Raw genomic sequence first — 21,903 nt, forward strand, 5'->3', positions numbered from 1 at the left:
GTGGCCGTGCATTTTACCTTCCCGCCAGTAATGAATGTGGGTTCCAATTTCTCCACATCCTCTACAACACTTGTCATTATCTATCTTTTTGATTGTAGCCATCCTAGAGGGTGGGAAGTGGCATCTCATTGTGGGAAACAAGCTTTTTGTACTCATATCAACAGTCATTAGCTACAGACTTCATTAGGGCATTTATTCTTCCATTGAGGTGACCTTTATCAGCCAAAGGCAATTCTCCAAGGAAGGGGTGCAGCTGTGAGCCATGATCAGGCCACACTCACAGCAGCTGATAAATGGGTCTGCCACACTCATTCATTCAAGATACATCTACTTACTCATTCATACAAGAGACATTTAAGGGCATCTTCATGATGCTGTGCACAATATTAGGTACAGAGGATGCAAAGAACAGACTTTTTTTTTTTTTTTTTTTTTTTGAGACAGAGTCTTGCTCTGTCATCCAGGCTGGAGTGCAGTGGCGCAATCTCGGCTCACTGCAACCTCCCTCTCCCAGGTTCAAGAGATTCTCCTGCCTCCGCCTTCCGAGTAGCTGAGACTACAGGCACATGACACCACGTCTGGCTAATTTTTTTTGGATTTTTGGTAGAGACAGGGTTTCACCATATTGACCAAGCTGGTCTCGAACTACTGACCTCATGATCTGTCTGCCTCGGCCTCCCAAAGTGGTGGGATTACAGGCGTGAGCCACCATGCCTGGCCAAAGAACAGACTTTGACTTAAAAGAGCTAACATTCCACTGAACAACCTTGATGAAATTACCCACACAATGGTAGAAACACAACTCTGATAAATATGGGGAAGAAAAGGAACTTGGTGCTATGCATGTAATAAGATCTGACAAACAAACAAATAAAAAGATTTGACCTCAGCAGGATGGTCAGAGGAGTCTTCTGTGAGAAATTAATGATTGAGGTGAATTCTAGAGAATATAAGTATAAGGGAATTAGATACCTAAAGAAGAACCAGGAAGGAGTTCTGGGCTGAAGAACAAATGTGCGCAAGGAATGATGTGTTCTATAATCTGAAAACTTGCTGTGAGGATATGGAGTGGGCAGGTGTTTTTGAATCCACCTGGTAAGGTTGGTAGGGCCCACACCTGCAGGATAACCTAGGAAGCTTATGTTTATTCTAAGCACAATTGGAAGCCATCACAGAAGATTAAGTAGGGTTGGGATGTGGGAGGGATCTGATTTGTGTTTTTTGATAATATTGCTCTTTCTACCCTGCAGAGAGTGGACTGGGATTATATTTGAAAGAGCACATGTGTCATATACAGATTTTTGTGTTCTCTCTGGGATCAGGGCAGTGCATTCTCTCATTGTGGCACATGCTGACTCTCCCTCATGGTGGTTTGTTTCTTCATCAGTTTGTAGGCATTTTCATCATGAGGTCACCTTCAGCAGGGGTTATTATCCATGAGAATCCTAAATGCCTTAGATTGTGGAAGTGTTCCTTCCAATACTGTTTTGGAAGCTTGAAGTCTCTGCATTGTATGGGTAGGAATTTGAGAGGGACACAATAAATAAGAACCGTCTTTCCTACCTGAGTTCAGAACCAATTGACAAAAGCAGAGAAGTCACACAAATCAAGATTGGCTTCATTGCTGTGAAAGTTGAACTGGAATAGCATGGCTTAGAAGCATGAACCAGGAGCAAGAAGCTCCCTAGTACTGCACCTGAAAATTAGGCTCACCCACCTAGTCACAGATGATAGCTAAAAACTGCTGACTCTCACTCTCCCTGTATTGACGAGATCTTTGCTGATAAGCTGCAGGGCCAGGAGCAGGCAAATTATTCTCAACAAGAAAAGATGAAGAGCAAAGGGCTGTAATTGAAGTGCAAAGTGTTCTGGGAAACTTAGAAAGTATTTCTAAGAGGAAATTAGAGAGTATTTCTTTTTCTTTTTGAGACAGGTTCTCACTCTGTAGCCCAGGCTAGCATGCAGTGGCACCAACACCACTCATTGCAGCCTTGACTTCCCCGGGCTCAGGTGATCCTCCCACATCAGCCTCCCGAGTAGCTGGGACTACAGGCATGTGCTACCAAACCCAGTTAATTTTTGTATTTTTTGCAGAGACAGGGTTTTGCCGTGCTACCCAGGCTGGTCTCAAACTCTTGGGATCAAGCAATCTACCCACCTCGGCCTCCCAAAGTGCTGAGATTACAGGTGTGAACCACCATGCTGGCCTAGAGAGCATTTCTTGAAGGAAGTGAGATTTGAACTGGGCCTTGAGTGATACGTTATTTGTTTATTTAAAACATATTAATGGGTTATTTACTCTGTGGTAGGCTACACTAGCTATGATGCCTGTGAATTGACAGAGAGAGAGATGATAGTGTCCTATGCTGGGATTATAGATTAAGCAACAATACAGAGGCATTTCTGATGTAGATACCAGAAAAAGTAGCAGCAAATTACCTGATATGCTTGTCAGTAGCAGGTACAGAAGATGCCTCATCCGTACGACCTTGACACTTACCATTCCTACTAAAGATGTCTTTCTGGTAGTATGCCTCTAGAAATGGGAGCAGCTGAGCCAGAGTCCAGGGCAGACTGGAATTGCTGGGCAGTTACCATCCATGGGAGCATCCCTCAGCCACCGATGAATGGGAGTTGGTGCATACCCCAGCTTCCCTACTTCTTGGGTAGGCCAACTCTGAAACATGTTTTCCCATATGGACACTGACTCCTGCTTGTCTACAGTGGAAACCTCCTCATCTATGCCCCAAGGATTGGCCTTTTCATTCACTTTCCTCTACTGGTGTCTCCTGAGATCACCTCTCAAATCAAATACTACACTCACACCTTCATCTTCAAGATCTTCTGGATATGTATCCTTTTTAAAGTAGAAGTTCATATTTCTATTATTTAGATAATAACACATGAGTTAATTATGTACAAACATAAATAGGAAGTTAAAAAGATATTTCAAATGCATATTCATTAGATCATTCATCCATCAAATGCCATTGACAATTATGGTTGAGAAACGTTGGACATTATTTTAAGGAACAATAAATAACATTGAACTCTGCATGTAGGAAGTGCTCAATGAATACGACTTCCATATGAGTAGGATTCTTGCTAAACTCGGCTTGTCTTTTTCCTTTTTTTTTTTTTTTTCTGAGATGGAGTTTTGGTCTTGTTGCCCAGGATGGAGTGCAATGGCATGATCTCGGCTCACTGCAACCCCTGCCTCCTGGGGTGCAAGTAATTCTCCTGCCTCAGCCTCCTGAGTAACTGGGATTACAGGCATGCACCACCATGCCCAGCTAATTTTGTGTTTTTAGTAGAGATGGGGTTTCTACATGTTGGTCAGGCTTGTCTCAAACTCCTTACCTCAGGTGATCCGCCCACCTTGGCCTCCCAAAGTGCTGAGATTACAAGTGTGAGCCACCGCACCCAGCCTTCTTTTCCCTTTTTAAAAACAGATTTGGGAGTTGCGTGCAAGATGGCCGAATAGGAACAGCTCTAGTCTGCAGCTCCCAGTGAGATCAACGCAGAAGGTGGGCAATATCTGCATTTCCAACTGAGGTACCTGGCTTATCTCACTGGGACTGGATAGACAGTGGGTGCAGCCTATGGAGAGAGAGCAGATGCAGGGTGGGGCATTGCCTCACCTACACCACCAGGGCCCTGGGTTTCAAGCACAAAACTGGGTGGCCGTTTGGGCAGACACCGAGCTAGCTGCAGTTTTTTTTTTTATATACCCCAGTGGTGCCTGGAATGCCAGCGAGACAGGACCATTCACTCCCTGGGAAAGGGGGCTGAAGCCAGGGAAACAAGTGGTCTAGCTCAGCGGATCCCACCCCTACAGAGCCCAGCAAGGCCCTGGCTGGAAATTCTTGCTGCCAGCACAGCAGTCTGAAGTTGACCTGGGATGCTCAAGCTTTGTGGGGGAAGGGCATCTGCCATTACTGAGGCTTGAGTAGGCAGGTTTCCCCTCACAGTGTAAACGAAGCCTCTGGGAAGTTTGGACTGGATGGAGTCCACCACAGCTTGGCAAAGCTGCTGTAGCCAGACTGCCTCTCTAGATTCCTCCTCTCTGGGCAGGGCATCTCTGAAAAAAAGGCAGTAGCCCCAGTCGGGGGCTTATAGATAAAACTCCTGTCTCCCTGGGACAGAACACCTGGGAGAAGGGGCGGCTTGTGGGTGCAGCTTCAGCAGACTTAAACGTTCCTGCCAGCCAGCTCTGAAGAGAGCAGTGGATCTCCTAGCACAGTGCCTGAGCTCTGCTAAGGGACAGACTGCCTCCTCAAGTGGGTCCCTGACCTCCATGCCTCCTGACTGGGAGACACCTCCCAGCAGGGGCTGACAGACACCTCACACAGGAGAGCTCCAGCTGGCATCTGGCAGGTGCCCCTCTGGGACGAAGCTTCCAGAGGAAGGAACAGGCAGCAATCTTTGCTGTTCTGCAGCCTCTGCTGGTGATACCCAGGCAAACAGAGTCTGGAGTGGACTTCCAGCACACTCCAGCAGACCTGCAGAAGAGAGGCCTGACTGTTAGAAGGAAAACTAACAAACAGAAAGGAATAGCATCAACATCAACAAAAAGGATGCCCACACAGAAACCCCATCCGAAGGTCACCAACATCAAAGACCAAAGGTAGGTAAATCCACGAAGATGAGGAAAAACCAGTGCAAAAAAGCTGAAAATTCCAAAAACCAGAATGTGTCTTCTCCTCCAAAGGGCCACAACTCCTTGCCAGCAAGGGAAGAAAACCAGATAGAGAATGAGTTAGATGAATTGACAGAAGTAGGCTTCAGAAGGTGGGTAATAACAAACTCCTCCGAGCTAAAGGAGCGTGTTCTAACCCAATGCAAGGAAGCTAAGGACTTTGAAAAAAGGTTAGAGGAATTGCTAACTAGAATAACCAGTTTAGAGAAGAACATAAATGACCTGAAGGAGCTGAAAAACACAGCACAAGAACTTTGTGAAGCATACACAAGTATCAATAGCCAAACCAATCAAGTGGAAGAAAGGATATCAGAGATTGAAGATCAATTTAATGAGATAAATCATGAAGACAAGATTAGAGCAAAAAGAATGAAAAGGAATGAACAAGGCCTCCAGGAAACATGGGACTATGTGAAAAGACCAAACCTACATTTGATTGGTGTACCTGAAAGTGATGGGGAGAATGGAACCAAGTTGGAAGACACTCTTCAGGATATTATCCAGGAGAACTTCCCCAACCTAGCAAGACAGGCCAATGTTCAAATTCAGGAAATATGAAGAACACCACAAAGATACTCCTCAAGAAAAGCAACCCCAAGACACATAATCATCAGATTCACCAAGGTTGAAATGAAGGAAAAAGTGTTAAAGTTAGCCAGAGAGAAAGGGCAGGTTACCCACAAAGAGAAGCCCATCAGACTAAGAGCAGATCTCTCTGCAGAAACTCAACAAGCCAGAAGAGAGTGGGGGCCAATATTCAACATTCTTAAAGAAAGATTTTTCAACCCAGAATTTCATATCCAGCCAAACTAAGCTTCATAAGTGAAGGAGAAATAAAATCCTTTACAGACAAGCAAATGCTGAAAGATTTTGTCAACACCAGGCCTGCATTACAAGAGTTCCTGAAGGAAGCACTAAATATGGAAAGGAAAAACCAGTATCAGCCACTGCAAAAACATACCAAATTGTAAAGACTATCAACACTATGAAGAAACTGCATCAACTAATGGGCAAAATAACTAGCTAGCATTGTAATGACAAGATCAAATTCACACATAACAATATTAAGTTTAAATGTAAACGGCCTAACTGCCCCAATTAAAAGACACAGACTGGCAAATTGGATAAAGAGTCAAGACCCATTGGTGTGCTGTATTCAGGAGACCTATCTCATGTGCAAAGACACACATAAGCTCAAAATAAAGGAATGGAGTAATATTTACCAAGCAAATGGAAAAAAAAAAAGCAGGGGTTGCAATCCTAGTCTCTGAGTCTCTGATAAAACAGACTTTCAACCAACAAAGATCAAAAAAGACAAAAAAGGGCATTACATAATGGTAAAGGGATCAATGCAACAAGAAGAGCTAACTCTCTTAAATATACATGCACCCAATACAGGAACACCCAGTTTCATAAAGCAAGTTCTTAGAGACCTACAAAGAGACTTAGACTCCCACACAATAATAGTGGGAGACTGTAACACCCCACTGTCAGTATTAGACAGATCAATGATACAGAAAATTAACAAGGATATTTAGGACTTGAACTCAGCTCTGGACCAAGCAGACCTAATAGACATCTACGGAACTCTCCACCCCAAATCAACAGACTATACATTGTTGTAAGCACCACATCACACTTGACCACATAATTGGGAGTAAAACACTCTTCAGCAAATTCAAGAGAATGGAAATCATAACAAACAGTCTCTTAGACCACAGTGCAATCAAATTAGAACCCAGGATTAAAAAACTCACTCAAAACTGCACAACTACATGAAAACTGACCAACCTGCTCCTGAATGACTATTGGGTAAATAGCGAAATTAAGGGAGAAATAAATAAGTTATTTGAAACCAATGAGAACAAAGACACAATGCAGCAGAATCTCTGGGACACAGCTAAAGCAGTGTTTAGAGGGAAATTTACAGTACTAAATGCTCACAGCAGAAAGCAGGAAATATCTAAAATTGACATCCTAACATCACAATTAAAAGAACTAGAGAAGCAAGAGCAAGCAAATTCAAAAGCTAGCAGAAGACGAGAAATAACTTAGATCAGAGCAGAACTGAAGTATATAGAGACACAAAATATCTTTGAAAAATCAATGAATCCAGGAGCTGGTTTTTGAAAAAATTAATAAAATAGATAGACTGCTAGCCAGACTAATAAGTAAAAAAAAGAGAAAAGAATCAAATAGACACAATAAAAATGATAAAGGGGATATCACCACTGATCCCACAGAAATACAAACTACCATCAGAGAATACTATAAATACCTCTACGCAAATAAACTAGGAAATCTAGAAGAAATGGATAAATTCCAGGACACATACACCCACCCAAGACTATGTGGGGAAGAAGTCAAATCCCTGAATAGACCAATAACAAGTTCTGAAATTGAGGCAGTAATTAATAACCTACCAACAAAAACAGCCCAGGATCAGATGGATTCACAGCCGTAGAAAGAGGAGCTGGTACCATTCCTTCTGAAACTATTCCAAACAATAGAAAAAGAGAGATTCCTCTCTAAATCATTCTATGAGGCCAGCATCATCTTGATACCAAAACCTGGCAGAGACACAACAACAACAAAAAAGAAAATTTCAGGCCAATATCCCTGATGAATATCGATGCAAAAATCCTCAATAAAATACTGGCAAACCAAATCCAGCAGCACATCAAAAAGCTTATCCACCACGATCAAGTCGGCTTCAACCCTGGGATGCAAGTCTGGTTCAACATATGCAAATCAATAAATGTAATCCATCACATAAACAGAACCAATGACAAAAACCACATGATTATCTCAATAGATGCAGAAAAGGCCTTTGATAAAATTCAATACCACTTTATGCTAAAAACTCTCAATAAACTAGGTATTGATGGAATGTATCTTAAAATAATAAGAGCTATTTATGACAAACCCACAGCCAATATCATACTGAATGGGTAAAAGATAGAAGCATTCTGTTTGAAAACCAGCACAAGAGAAGGATGCCCTCTCTCACCACTCCTTTTCAACATAGTGTTGGAAGTTCTGACAGGGCAATCAGACAAGAGAAAGAAATAAAGCGTATTCAAATAGGAAGAGAGGAAGTCAAGTTGTCTTTGTTTGCAGATGACATAATTGTATATTTAAAAAACCCCATCATCTCAGCCCAAAATCTCCTTAAGCTGATAAGCAACTTCAATAAAGTCTCAGGATACAAAATCAATGTGCAAAAATCACAAGGATTCCTATACACCAATAAGAGACAAACAGAGAGCCAAATCATTAGTGAATTCCTGTTCACAATTGCTACAAAGAGAATAAAATACCTAAGAATACAACTTACAAAGGGTGTGAAGTACTTCTTGAAGGAGAGCTACAAACCACTTCTCGAAGAAATAAGACAGGACATAGACAAATGCAAAAATATTCCATGCTCATGGATAGGAAGAATCAATATTGTGAAAATGGCCACACTGCCCAAAGTAGTTTATAAAATCAGTGCTATCCCCATCAAGCTACATTGACTTTCTTCACAGAATTAGAAAAAACTAATTTAAATTTCATATGGAACCAAAAAAGACCCTGTATAGCCCAAGAGCACCCTAAGCAAAAAGAACAAAGCTGGAGGCATCATGCTACCTGGCTTCAAACTATACTACAAGGCTACAGTAACCAAAACATCATGATACTTGGTGCCAAAACATATATATAGACCAATGGAACAGAACAGAGTCCTCAGATATAACACCACACATCTACAACCATCTGATCTTTGACAAATCTGACAAAAACAAGCAATGGGGAAAGGATTCCCTATTTAATAAATGGTGTTGGGAAAACTGGCTAGCCATATGCAGAAAACTGAAACTGGACCTCTTCCTTACACCTTGTACAAAAATTAACTCAAGATGGATTAAAGACTTAAATGTAAGACCTAAAACCATAAAAACCCTAGATGAAAACCTAGGCAATACCATTCAGGACATAGGCATGGGCAAAGACTTCATGGCTGAAACAACAAAAGCAATTGCAACAAAAGCCAAAATTGACAAATGGGATCTAATTAAACTAAAGAGCTTCTGTACAGCAAAATAAACTATCATCAGAGTGAACAGGCAACATACAGAATGGGAGAAAATTTTTGCCATCTATCCATCTGACAAAGGGCTAATATCCAGAATCTACAAAGAACTCAAACAAATTTACAAGAAAAAAAACAAGCAATCCTATCAAAAAGTGGGCGAAGGATATGAACAGACACTTCTCAAAAGAAGACATGTATGCGGCCCACAAACATTTGAAAAAAAGCTCATCATCACTGGTCATTAGAGAAATGCAAAGCAAAACCACGATGAGATACCATCTCATGCCAGTTAGAATGGTGATCATTAAAAAGTCGGGAAACAACAGATGCTGGAGAGGATGTGGAGAAATAGGAATGCTTTTACACTGTTGGTGGGAGTGTAAATTAGTTCAGCCATTGTTGAAGGCAATGTGGTGATTCCTCAAGGATCTAGATCCAGACATACCATTTGACCCAGCAATCCCATTACTGTGTATATACACAAAGGATTATAAATCATTCTACTATAAAGACACATGCACATGTGTGTTTATTGCAGCACTGTTCACAATAGCAAGACTTGGAACCAACACAAATGCCCATGAATGATAGACTGGATAAAGAAAATGAGGCACATATACACAATGGAATACTACGCAGCCATAAAAAAGGATGAGTTCATGTCCTTTGCAGGGACATGGATGAAGCTGGAAACCATATTCTCAGGAAACTAACACAGGAATAGAAAACCACACACCCCATGTTTTCACCCATAAGTGGGAGTTGAACAATGAGAACACATGGACACTGGGAGGGGAACATAATACACTGGGGCCTGTCAGGGAGTTGGGGGCTAGGGGAGGGATAGCATTAGGAGAAATACCTAATGTAGATGACGGGTTGATATGTGCAGCAAACCACCATGGCACGTGTATACCTATGTAACAAACCTGCACGTTCTGCACGTGTATCCCAGAACTTAAACTATAATAATAATAATAATAATAATAATAAACAGTTTATCTTTCTTTTCTCTTAATCATTCTAATATGTTCTTAACAGCCAGGTGCAATGTTAGCTCAGCTGCCCTTTAGCTGCCAAATACCTTCCATGTGCTATCAACAAGATGATTACCTTGGGCCCAAAGTGCAATGCTTACCCAATTATAGAAACTGTGTCAACCTGGTGTTGACTACCACTGCCACTGCCATTGTGAGGTTAGGACTTGGGCAATCACCTGGACAATTTAATCAGAAATCATCCAACTTTTGAAGAACAGGTCAGGATTGATAACTTAGTGCAAAGTTCCCTTGGATGATGGTACAATCTTTTCATAGCCTGTTATTCTCCACACATGCACACTCACACATGAACATGCATTCACACACATGCCAACAACAATCATCAGTAGGTATTTTTAAAAATTCAAATTGTAATATACTAAACAATAAGCCATGTTGATATTTCATGTTCCTTTCTAGTCTTTGGCCATAAACAAATGTCACTTTCATGTGATTATAATAAAATTTATAGATTTCATTCGTTTTTTTCTTACATGATTTTGCCAGCATTTTTCTCCATGAGGATTTTCCAAATGCTTTGTAGATGTCAACAATGGAATCCTTCCAGCTGGAATGAGTTTGCACTCTGTGCTGAAATCACAGTCGGGGACTCAAAGAAAGAGCCACTTTTAACCTTTTGTGTTTTCTGCTCTAAGGAATGAACTCCTGGCTGCTCTTTCTTTCAGGAATTAATGTGTTTGGATAATTGTCTCAAGTGGGAGCTCGCCACAGGAAAGCAGGTGTAGGGGCTTGGCTTTTGGCAGAGGCTTAGTTTATTTGTCATTTATTCACTCATGCATTCATTCAACAAACATTCCTTGAATATCTATCCATTACCCAACAGACATGGGTAGCAATGCTATCTGCAGGCAGGTCATGGAGGCTGGATCAGGAGCAGGAAGATGGAAGAAATGAATGACCTCGAGAGCTGAGTGTAAGGATTCACACCTGCCTTCCAAAAACAGAGATACCAGCTGAGCAGAGAAGAATGAAGCGCACGAAGAGAGGCCTGTGGTTCAATCAGACCAACCAACAAGAACTAGAAAGACAGGGCGTCATTGCACAGCAGACATCCCAGATTAAATAAACAGATGTCAACCATGAAGACTGAAGATTTGGGGCCTTGGAGGCAAGGACAGATCCTGAAAAGGACAGCAAAGAATCACATGAGCCCATCTTGAATGTGGCTCCTGGGAAAGCAATGTATTCTAAGCACTTTGAATCCAAGATCTGCTGCCTGAGTCTTGTAGAGAGGCCGTGAACTCAAGCAGGGCTGCCTGCATGTGAATCCCACGTGGAAGCTAGGTGACTTCAGGTAAGTGACTTAACCTTCCAGGACCACATTTTCCAGATCCTGAAACAGTGATGACCTAAAAGTGCTTAGCTCATAGGTTTGTAATGAGGCGTAGGAGAGCTCATACTTGCACAGCGTTCAAAACAGTGCCTGATACAAAGTAAATGCTTATATAAGAGTTTTTAAATAAAATTAATGTACAGTGGAGGAAAGCATTTCATGACAATACTTAATTCTTTTCAGTACCCCTAACCATCCTCATTTTTAGAGATTTACAAATCTATATGACACCATGGTCTTTTTTCTTCCTAATTATTTACATGTGGTTTCAACTATGGCTTCCTTCCCCAACCGTGATGACCACAGCCTCCTACTCCTCTTCCCCCAGCAATGGGTACCTTCACTGTTGTGTCCTGTTGGTTGCAAGCCAAACTGAAGCATTGTCTAGGTGCCGGGCCGGGTACTCAACCTTCACACATATCAGAACCTAACCTTTTGGCCTGCCCTGTGTTCTCAAGCTCTAACATGCAATAATACTTCCCAGCTTCCCTAAAACCCCCAGACCTCTAAGCTGGTTACATACCAGTGTGGTGTTGAGTCGTATACCAATCTGGCAACATGTTGATGTTTCCATGCAGGAATCCTCACAGCCAGGCTTCACAGCTCAGCAAGGGTCCTGTGCCATCCCTGCCTGAAGATCATTTTGCATTTTTTAGCTGGTATCCAGCATGTTGACTAAGAACAAGAGGGATTTCTTTGAAAGAACAATCAGGATGCCCTAGCTCCTGGGGCCTTTTCCCAGCTCCCAAGCCTGGGAGGCATTGCCACGGATGGCCCAGCTCTTTGGTTGAAGGCCTAACTCCAGGAATGGTGCCATCATTTCAGTGGTTAATAACAAACAAAACAGAAAGATAGACTGCATGACTCATGTACACTGCCACCTGCCGAGGCCTGGGAGCAAAGATTTGGCAAGGACTAAGGAAGAGGACACAGAATCTACTTTCTTTCCTCTTCTTTTTCTTTTACAGAAAGACTCTTTGTTTTTGCCATTTTATGCACAAGCTAAACAGATTACAGTCAAGAAAAATGGGGGCAGGCCCAGGTGTCTAGGAGATGGGAGAGAATTTGCATTCCAATTGTGGAACGTATCAAAAGGCGATTCTTTCTGCCTCAATTGGAAGGTGCAGCTCAATTTGGGGGCAATTTCAACAAGACCATACCTTTTATCTCCAATTCAAACTGGGGGCACTCCAAGGATGCCCTGGGGAATCCTGGAAGGAAAGAGCAGCACCTTTATGAAGGCAGATGTTTTCATTTCCTCCCCTCTAGATCCTTGAAGGTTGAAGGTTGAAAAACATGAGGCTCATTTTTTTTTCTGTTTTTGACTTCTAGTATATTCGAAAATGGAGAAATACCATAAGTCAATTGCAAAATAAATGAATTTGAGTATGTTAAATGTTAACTCTTGTCAAAATAACACATTTCGTGTACCCACATTGCAGTGATTGTGTGTGTGACTTCATTTATGGATAACGTCAAAAGTTTGCATTTAAGGAACAGGATGGAAATGAGGCTCCCAGCAGATGGTTCTTGTGCACCGCCCCCAGCCAGATGGTTCTGACAAGATGATTCTCAGAGAGAATGCTTCCTCCCTCCACCACTACATAAATTGCCCCCTGGCCAGGCATGGTGGCTCATGCCTGTAATCCCAGCACTTTGGGAGGTCGAGATGAAAGGATCAGTTGAGGCCAGGACTTCGAGACCAGCCTGGCCAACACGGGAAAACCCCGTCTCTACCAAAAATACAAAAATTAGCTGGGCGTAGTGGCGTGCACCTGTAGTCCCAGCTACTTGGGAGCTGAGGCACAAGAATCGCTTGCTGCAGGAGGTTGCAATGAGCAGCGATCATGCCACTGCACCCCAGCCTGGGTGACAGAGCAAGACCCTGTCTTAAAAATTTAAAATAAATAAAATAAATTGCCCCCCGCCCAGTGAAAGACCCCATCCCTAATTTGTGTGGCTCCCTAAGAAACATTATCTCAACTCCGACTCTTCCTTTTTTATCTCATTAAAATAAAACAAACAAACAAAAAAACAAGAACTATAGACCTCCATGAGAGACCTCACTTAAAAGCAAAATATTCTGTTAGTTTGAAATAAACCAGAGAATCAAAGCCTCCCTATCCTCTCCAATCTCCACCCGCGTTCAGATACCCCTGCCACACACACACTGAAACTCAGCTCCAGCTCTCTGTCCGCATTGCCCCCTTTCTGCCCCCTCCACACAGACTTATTTCATAAAAATGTCAGCTATTAAGTTAGCATTATTTAAGGGGCTTTGGGTTTTAGTTCCTGAATGCAACTTAAGCTGGATCCGTAAAGGCCTGACACGAAGTCCCGGCTGTATAAAACATGATCCACGGAGGTACTAAATAAATAACCTGGCTGTGGGCTTCCAGGCCGCTCTATTTATCACTGCAGTGAGGATAAGGATCTGATTTAGAGTGAACCCTACTGAGGGTCGAACCCGGCACAAGCTGTAATATGATCTGCAGGGGAGGGCTGATAACCCGAAACAATGTGAAGAAACCCTGTCAGATAAATAAAACAAACTGTTTGTCCATTAAATAGCGCTGTCAGGAAGAGAACAGGGAAGCCAAACAGAGCTAAATCCAATTCTTTTATAGCCACACAAAGCCAGGAACACCTGAACTAAGCTGGGGGAAATAAGCTCCCTTAGAAATAGGTTGTGGGGGGTCGTGTCTGGAGGGAGGGGGATCGTGGTCTGATTTATTGAAGTCACTATGGTAGGAAAAAGTTGCTCTTTGATTCAGGGCAAATCCTGCCCCCTTCCTGGGTCTTGGTCTCCCCATTTGTGAAATGTGACCTGTCTTGCGGGTCCTGCCCTCCTCGCTGGATTACGGAGGTGGACCCATGGAAGAATTACAGAAAAAGGATTCTGAAAAAGAAGAGAATGACTATACGAGGCTCAGAAATGCAAGTGCCTACAGAGGCCAAGCTTGAAGCAGAAAACCAGGGCAGCGGGGACTAGAGAACGAGGGACGTATCTCAAGGGGCGGAAGCCACCCGGCACCACCAATGCTGCTGCGCAGACATACAGGCCCCTGCTGCCAACTCTGAATTTTTTCAAAAGGAAATATATGGTTGTTAATGTGAAATCCCAAGAATTCTAGATGTTGGAGGTAGTTATTGTATGAATGTTTTTAGAATACTGTGTGTGTTTCGTTGGAAAACCATGTGAGTAACATGTGACCTATAGTCTGCAACCTGTGGATGGAAGCAAAACCAGGTGGAATATTTTTGTGATGACCACGTTGCTACTGCTGTTGATGCTGGACACAACCCTGGGACACAAAGGCAGCAGAAACAACAGTGCCCTTTCTCAAACCCACTGATAGATCTCCCGTATGTTTGCCTCAGCTCTTTCAAATTTTTGATGTATTTTACTGGATCTATGTGGCATCTCACTGAATACTACACAGAATCTTCAGAGAACAAAGATTCTCATCAACTGTGCATGTTCTAACTGTCCTCTGAGCTTTCCATTCCCAGATAGAGAACACTAGTCCCTTCCCTGGCCAATGCTTCTCAGTGGGAGCATCACTGGCATTTTGGACAGGCACTAAATGTCTACAGCTCCTCTGAGGCCCAGGACAACCGAGCAATTGCCCTCACACTTTAAAAACAACAACAAAACCAAAACCAAAAGCACTCTGATACTTTACCTTTGTGGAAACCAGAGAGTCTCCTACTCTATCCTTGAAGACTGATATAGTTTGGCTGTGTCCCCACCCAAATCTCATCTTGAATTGTAACTCCCATAATTCTCACATGTTGTGGGAGGGACCCAGTGGGAGATAATTGAATCATGGGAGTGGTTTCCCTCATACTGTTCTCGTGGTAGTGAATAAGTCTCATGAGACCTAATGGTTTTATAAGGGGTTTTCCTTTTCACTTGGCTCTCATTCTCTCTTGTCTGCTGCCATGTAAGATGTGCCTTTTGCCTTCTGTCATGATTGTGAGGCCTCCCCAGCCAAATGGAACTGTGAGTCCATTAAAGTCCTTTTTCTTTATAAATTACCCAGTCTTGGGTATGTCTTTATCAGCAGCATGAAAATCGACAAGACCAAGCAGGCTAATTTGGCCCTGTCATGGTCAACATGACCAGCCCAGGTCTCTGGATGGACTTCCTGAGGCAGCCTGGAGTGAGGCCTGGGCTTCTTAGGACAATGAAGACCAAGCCAGCAAACAGAAACAGAAGGTATCCTGGAATACCAGAATGGCTTAGGTTTCCAACAGAGGTTCCGAGTCACCACTGTTACTTGTTGAACAGACCCATGCCCTGGCCTTATCCTGGCAGGCCTGAGGATATGGTCCAGTGTATTTCCTTTTATATAAAGCTTCGCTGGTGAATCTAGACCATGTTTTGAGCCATTGTTTTAATAAAAGCACTAGTGCTTCCTTCATCTAAAGCAGTGGTTCTCAAACTTGCCTGTTCTTCAGAATCACTTGGAAAGCTTTACAAAATATGCTTCCTTAGGAACTATTGTAGAAGACTGATTTAATTTGGATAGTGGATTACATTTTTATGAAACTGTTGTAGGCAGGGGAGTAGATAAGAATCTCTCATGTCTTTGCTATGTATTTGAATAAGTAAGTCTGCTTATCTGCACATTACAGATGGCAAAAGAGAGACCCAGAAATAGAAAATGACCATTATGATCTTAGACCCAAGACTAGAATAAGATTCAAATGTCTAGTCTTATTCTTGAGGTTATTACCATCACCTTTTTCTGCAGAATCTGAAGCTGACTTGCTGCATCCAAGCTGTTTATTGTTGGGCTAAAATTAATTTTTTGAAGTAGTTACAGTGAGATTTTTCTTTTCATTGAATTATATTTTTTCCTTGCAGTTTGTATTATTGAATAATTCACCTCCCCCCATCAGGCAGGAAGCAGTTTCTGTGTTTCCTTGGCTTTGGGATGGTTTGTGGCAGAGCCTCCTGGCTTTAGTTTCCAAAAATCTCATGTTCGTTGAGGACCCCAAGGCATGAGGATAAAGGGATGGCTTCTCAACTAAAAAGCAGTTCCCAGAGACTTAGGAAGGAGTAGATAGAGGCTCAGAATAAAAATTAAGAAGATTAAAAATACAGAAATGTGAAATATTTTTCTTAGTAAGCCTTTAGATCAAAATTCAGATGGATAGCCTTTAGTTCAGGTATAAATAAACTATTGGCCTTTTCAATTTGAGTAATCTCAGAGAAGGAGGTCAGTGTTGTACAAGAAGATAAAATTATATGCAAGGAAATAAAATATTTCTTTTTATTTTAAGGGATTCCTTAAGAAAATAAAATACACTTTAAAATCTTTTTTTTTTTGAGATGGTATCTGGCTCTGCCGCCTAGGCTGGAGTTCAGTGGTGTGATGTTGGCTCAATGCAACCTCCGCCTCTTGGATTCAAAGGATCCTCCCACTTCAGCCTCCTGAGTAGCTGGGATTACAGGAGTGCACCACCATGCCCGGCTAATTTTTTGTGTTTTTAGTGGCAATGGGGTTTCGCCATGTTGGCCAGGCTGATCTCAAACTTCTTACCTCAAGCAATCTGCCAGCCATGGCCTCCCAAAGTGCTGAGATTACTTACAGGCATGAGCCACCACGTCCAGCCTAAATTCTATTCAAGTGAATAAAAACACAACCTAAACAAGCTTTAAAAAAGGAAAATAAATAAAAGTAATATCTTAGTTGGTATGAGTCGAAAACTCAGGGGTACAAATGATGACAGGTACGACCTAATCCAGAGCTTCAAATAACATTGTCAGGAATGGCTTTACTTGTCTCTGTCTCCAACTCTGTATCAACTTCATTCCTCTGGCAAGTCCTTCCATCTTCCATGTGGTGGCCATCAGGCACCTGACCTATTTCCTACAGCTCAGCAATTCAGGTGCTACCAGCACGTCTTCTCATTGGCCTGCCTTGGGATTCGTGCCCATTCCCATAGCCATCATTGTGAACAACATATGTATAGAACATTTCTAAGTGGCCATCCTGGATCCAGGAAGGTGGGGTCAATCTATCTAACCTGCATAGACAGACAGTGGAAATGTGGTGACTCCCAAAAGGGGGAAAAAAATCAGGACTGTGAGAGAAAAAAGGGGGAAATTGATCATGGTCAAGAATGAACAGATGCTCTTTTTTTTTTTTTTTTTTTACAAAGGGAGACAAGAGGGATGTAGGGAAAGAAACCAAGTCTATTTTCTCTTTTCTGTCTCACATTAGCATTCATTAAATAAAAGCAGGAAGTCAAAACAGTGAAACAAACACTGATTGAGAATAAAATCAAGGAAAGGGCCCTTTTTATAATAGTGAGAATTCTGACTTGATATTGTTTTCAAGAAAGCTTTTTTTTTTCTTTTAAGAACCTACAGTAACTCAGCTTGGCTAATAAAGTATTTGTCTAGTACATTATGGAAGTCTTTTGGGAGACTATTGAATCAATTAGAATGATTTGTAATTAGCACACCAACCTAATGACAGGGTGTCTCTAAATTGCTGGAAAAGAGTTTGCTCTCTTAAGAGACTTGTATGATCCTCTTGTAAACTTATTTACATTAATGATATGCTTACTAGCTTTTTAAAATTTTTCCAGAATATAAATTTTGACCAGATCCTGTATCAAATATTACAAATTCTCAATTAAATGGTTTTGAATAATTGGGAAGTTACCATATGAATTAGAAAGATTTCCCCCTCTATATAATTATTCACAAAGGCCTTGGAACAAACTATCACAAGCCAGCATTTTTGAAAATTCTGATTGATATGAAGTTATGTCAGACCCCAAAGTCATATCAAACAGAATAGAGCTAGATACAATAGAACTGTTATTACAAGGTGTCATTGCTTGTAATTCCAGGGATATTGACAATACAGAGGAGTGTAAAATAATGCCTTATGTTTTTCCCCCCACAAAAGTTTGAAAAGAAGCTGGGAATTAGCTGAACTTTAAAAAAGTTTTCCAGATTCAAGTGGGCAGATGTCCATTCATGTGGCACAACGTTATTCTTTCAAATTTCTAGCACCTAATTTTAGAGCAGTGTCAACCCACAGATGTGGCATTTGGTCAACAACATGGGTTCTGAAGTCAGGCAAAACCTGGATTCAGGCCAGTTGCTGTGGCTCACACCTGCAACCTCAACACTTTGGGAGGCTGAGGTAGGAGGACCGCTTGAGCCCAGGAGTTCGAGAACACCCTGGGCTATATTACAAGACTTCATCTCTACAGAAAAATAAAAAAAAAATTACCTGGGTATAGTGATGGATGCCTGTAGTCCTAGCTACTTGGGAGACCAAGGTAGGTGGATGCTTTGAACCCAGGCATTCGAAGTTGCAGTGAGCTGTGATTGCACCACTGCCTGAGTGACAGAGTGAGACTCGGTATCAACAAAAAAAATTTTAAAAACCCCAAACTCCCAAAACAACAGAAAAGCACCTCCAAAAACCCAACCTGGGTTCATATCCTAGCTCCTTCTTTATTATGGATGTGGAATTTCGGGCAAGTTAGTTAAATTTGACCCTTCTCAGTTTCTGACATATCTGTCAGAAAAGTGGACAGGATGGTAATAATCATATGTTTTGTGGAAAAATGGAAATGACAATAATATATTTAGTAGGATTAAATAGAATGCATGTATCTTGTACATAGTAAACCCATATTGGTTGCAGCAAGACCCCTGGGTTAATAGGGATTTGATTCTGAGGAGTTACTCATTTTTATCTTATTCCAGTGAATAATCTGGAAACTACAAAGAGGTCTCCGTAGCAGGCTAGAGCAAAGGTTGAGGAGTGTAGAATATGCAATAGTAGAAGTGTGTTTTCTGTCAAATCATGTTTGCAGCACCTCTGAAGAGTAATCAATTTCCATTCATTCTCTCATTCATTCACTTCTCCAATAGGTATTGATGCCTACAGATATTAATTGGTATTAATCAAGCCCCTATTAGACATTGCAAATATATTGGAGATTAAAACAATAAGGTAGTCATGTACTTAGAGCAACTTAAATTTATTTTCAACTTGTCATCACTTCTCTTGAGTCACCTGTGATACTTTGTTATAACCATCCAAGAAAAACAGAAAACAAAATAGCTTCCCACCTCAAGATTGTTGTTAAAAGAGTTAATACATGTGACATGCTTAAGATAGAGATTTGCTTATAATACAAGAAATAGCTTAGTACAAATAATTATTTCAACCACTACTACAATGATCATTTTGTGATGTTTTTAAGCATTGTGATGCTGTTGGAAACATTAGACCAAACTCAGTTCAGACCTGAGTCTGCCTTATAATAGCTACTGATTTTACATGAATTATATAACCTCTCTGAGTTTCAGTTTCCTCATGTATAAAATAGGCATAATCTCAGTACCTGACTCATAAGGTAATGATGAGTCTTAAGTGAGATATTGTCTGTAAAGTGGCTGGTATAGCACCTGGAATGTAGTAAATAATCACTAGTTACCATAATAAAAACAGTAACTAAAGCTTGTGTTACCATTTTGAGTTGTCACAGTACTTTCACTTCGACATTCTCATTTCATGCTCAGGGAATGAGAGAAGGGTCATTAATATTATTGCCATCACTATCATCATTATACCTATTTATAAAATAAGGAGGGGTTCAGTGACTTGCCTAAGATCACAGGGCAGGTAAATGGTCAAGTAGGGTCTCTGTCCTAGTAGGCATTACAAGTGATTTTCAAAGTGATCCTTTGGCCTGGAGAGAATTCCTCTTCTTATTTGTACAACGGATCAGCAGTGATAAGGATGGGTCTGAGCTGGAGTTTCTAGATGCATATTTTGATGGGGTACATAAGTTCAAGAATTGGGGGCTATGGCAAACTGATCAGTCCATGCCTCTTTGTGGGCAAAGCCACTGCTGTCATGAGAAAGTCGTCATCCCTTTATTTACAACAAACATACATTGCCACGTAACTAAATACTCAAGAATCTTTGGTCTTGCTTCCAGAATAATTTAAATCATAGCTGTGCTAACATTTTCTTTTAAAAAAAAGTTGAAAAGGCAGGGCACGGTGGCTCACGCCTATAATCCCAGCACTTTGGGAGGCTGAGGCGGGTGGATCATCTGAGGTTGGGAGTTTGAGACCAACCTGACCAAGATGGAGAAATCCCATCTCTACTAAAAATACAAAATTAGCCAGGCGTGATGGTGCATGTGGTGGTGAATGCCTGTAATCCCAGCTACTCAGGAGGCTGAGGTAGGAAAATCGCTTGAACCTGGGAGGTGGAGGTTGTGGTGAGCCGAGATCGTGCCATTGCACTCCAGCCTGGGTAACAAGAGCGAAACTCCGTCTCAAAAAAAAGTTGAAAAGATGCTACTTTTGGAGAATATCCTCTGGAATGGCTGGTGAGAATACCACCCTCCCTGATTCCTCTAGCCAAACTTCTGTGAGATGTGGGTTTAGCGTTAATGTATCTTCTGATTTCCAAAAGGAGCTGGTAATCTGGATTTTTATATAAAATATACAATTTTTAAAAATTTGGACTCAAAACAAAGACAAAACAAGATGATTGCCTGGATGAAGCCTGGGGTCAGGGAAGAATTCCATGAATAAGTGGCTTTTAATCTAAATGCAGAAAATGGGTAGGTATCTGCTGGAAGAAGGACAGAGAGTTGCTTCTGAGAGCTGGAGTGTAGACTCTATACTATAGGTGGTTGGCTGGTGGGGTGTGAGGAGCAATGAGCCTGGAAAGGCAGGCAGGGGCTACATCCTATAGGGCATTATTGGCTCTGCAAGGAGCAATGGGAATGGTTGTATGGTTGATTCAATCGGCTTATTAGAAACATGGCACCCTGACAGGAATTGACTGGAAAGAGGCAAAAAGGGAGCTGGGAGAGCTTGTAAGGTGTTGTTGGAATAATTTAAGGAGATACTTCACATTCTTAATCCTATCTCATCCCCTGTTAGACCCAGTTCCAATATTCTACCAAACTAGTTCTCTCTTGTGTTTTACTAGAGTAAAGATGACTATCTTTCAACTTCACCCTCTCTAGAGACTGTTTCCAAATCCTCTGACATCTCTCACCTACTCTGGTCCTTTTTTAGTTCTCTCTAATTATTTTCTCCTTGTATTTTCTTTTTATACCTAAATGCCCAATTTTCAACTGTCATTGAATAAGAATTAGGAACACGCTACATTAAAAAATCACTTATCAGTATATCAAACCTTCTGGCAAACATTAGGGCTTGGCTATTGCCATTTCTTTTCTTTCTACCTAAGGAAACATTTCTGCCACCTCCTTACTGCTGACATATTTTTTTTTCAGAAACGCAGCCCTCAGGTTGTTCTTCTGCACTCTTTGAAGTCACTGTGAATTGCATGAAATTAGTTTGATGGCAAAGTGCCAGGATAATTTAAACAACTTGTGAGAGAGGATATTACCACTTTTTTCTGTCATTTTAAATTTCCCAAGGCCATCCCACAGAGTGGTGGGAAAAGGTATCGATCAGTGGTGACTGTCCTTCAATGTGGGTGCTCACACTCCCAAATCATGACTTAAAATTCATGAGAACTAAGACAATTCTCTCCACCCTAGAATTAAAATTTTAAGGTCATCATATTGACTCAATGACTTTGAAAGTAAAGGGATAGGGATAAGTGAAAAAATAAAGTGTTGAAGAAACTGTCTTCCACTGATTTCAGCAAAACAATGCTCTTATAATACACAATATATATATAATAATATGTAA

The 21,903-nt window shown here is 41.4% G+C and overlaps 1 long non-coding RNA gene across 4 annotated transcripts in view, besides 1 other annotated feature; it reads right to left on the reverse strand.

The window, feature by feature from the left end:
* LOC102723323 (uncharacterized) overlaps positions 1–11,964 on the reverse strand; it is a 137,467-nt gene extending 125,503 nt beyond the window's left edge. For all 4 annotated transcript variants that reach the window (XR_933558.3, XR_001752179.2, XR_001752180.2 and 1 more), the window contains exon 1: positions 11,695–11,964. This is a non-coding gene — a long non-coding RNA (uncharacterized LOC102723323). The remainder of the gene's footprint in view (positions 1–11,694) is intronic.
* Positions 13,116–13,845: an enhancer, noted in NCBI's record as "VISTA enhancer hs74". NCBI's record gives its function as "enhancer in: neural tube[4/12] | midbrain (mesencephalon)[6/12]" and the evidence as "EXISTENCE:transgenic organism evidence [ECO:0001131][PMID:17130149]".

Source organism: Homo sapiens, chromosome 16 (assembly GCF_000001405.40).
Source record: "Homo sapiens chromosome 16, GRCh38.p14 Primary Assembly".
Classification (NCBI taxonomy): domain Eukaryota; kingdom Metazoa; phylum Chordata; class Mammalia; order Primates; family Hominidae; genus Homo; species Homo sapiens.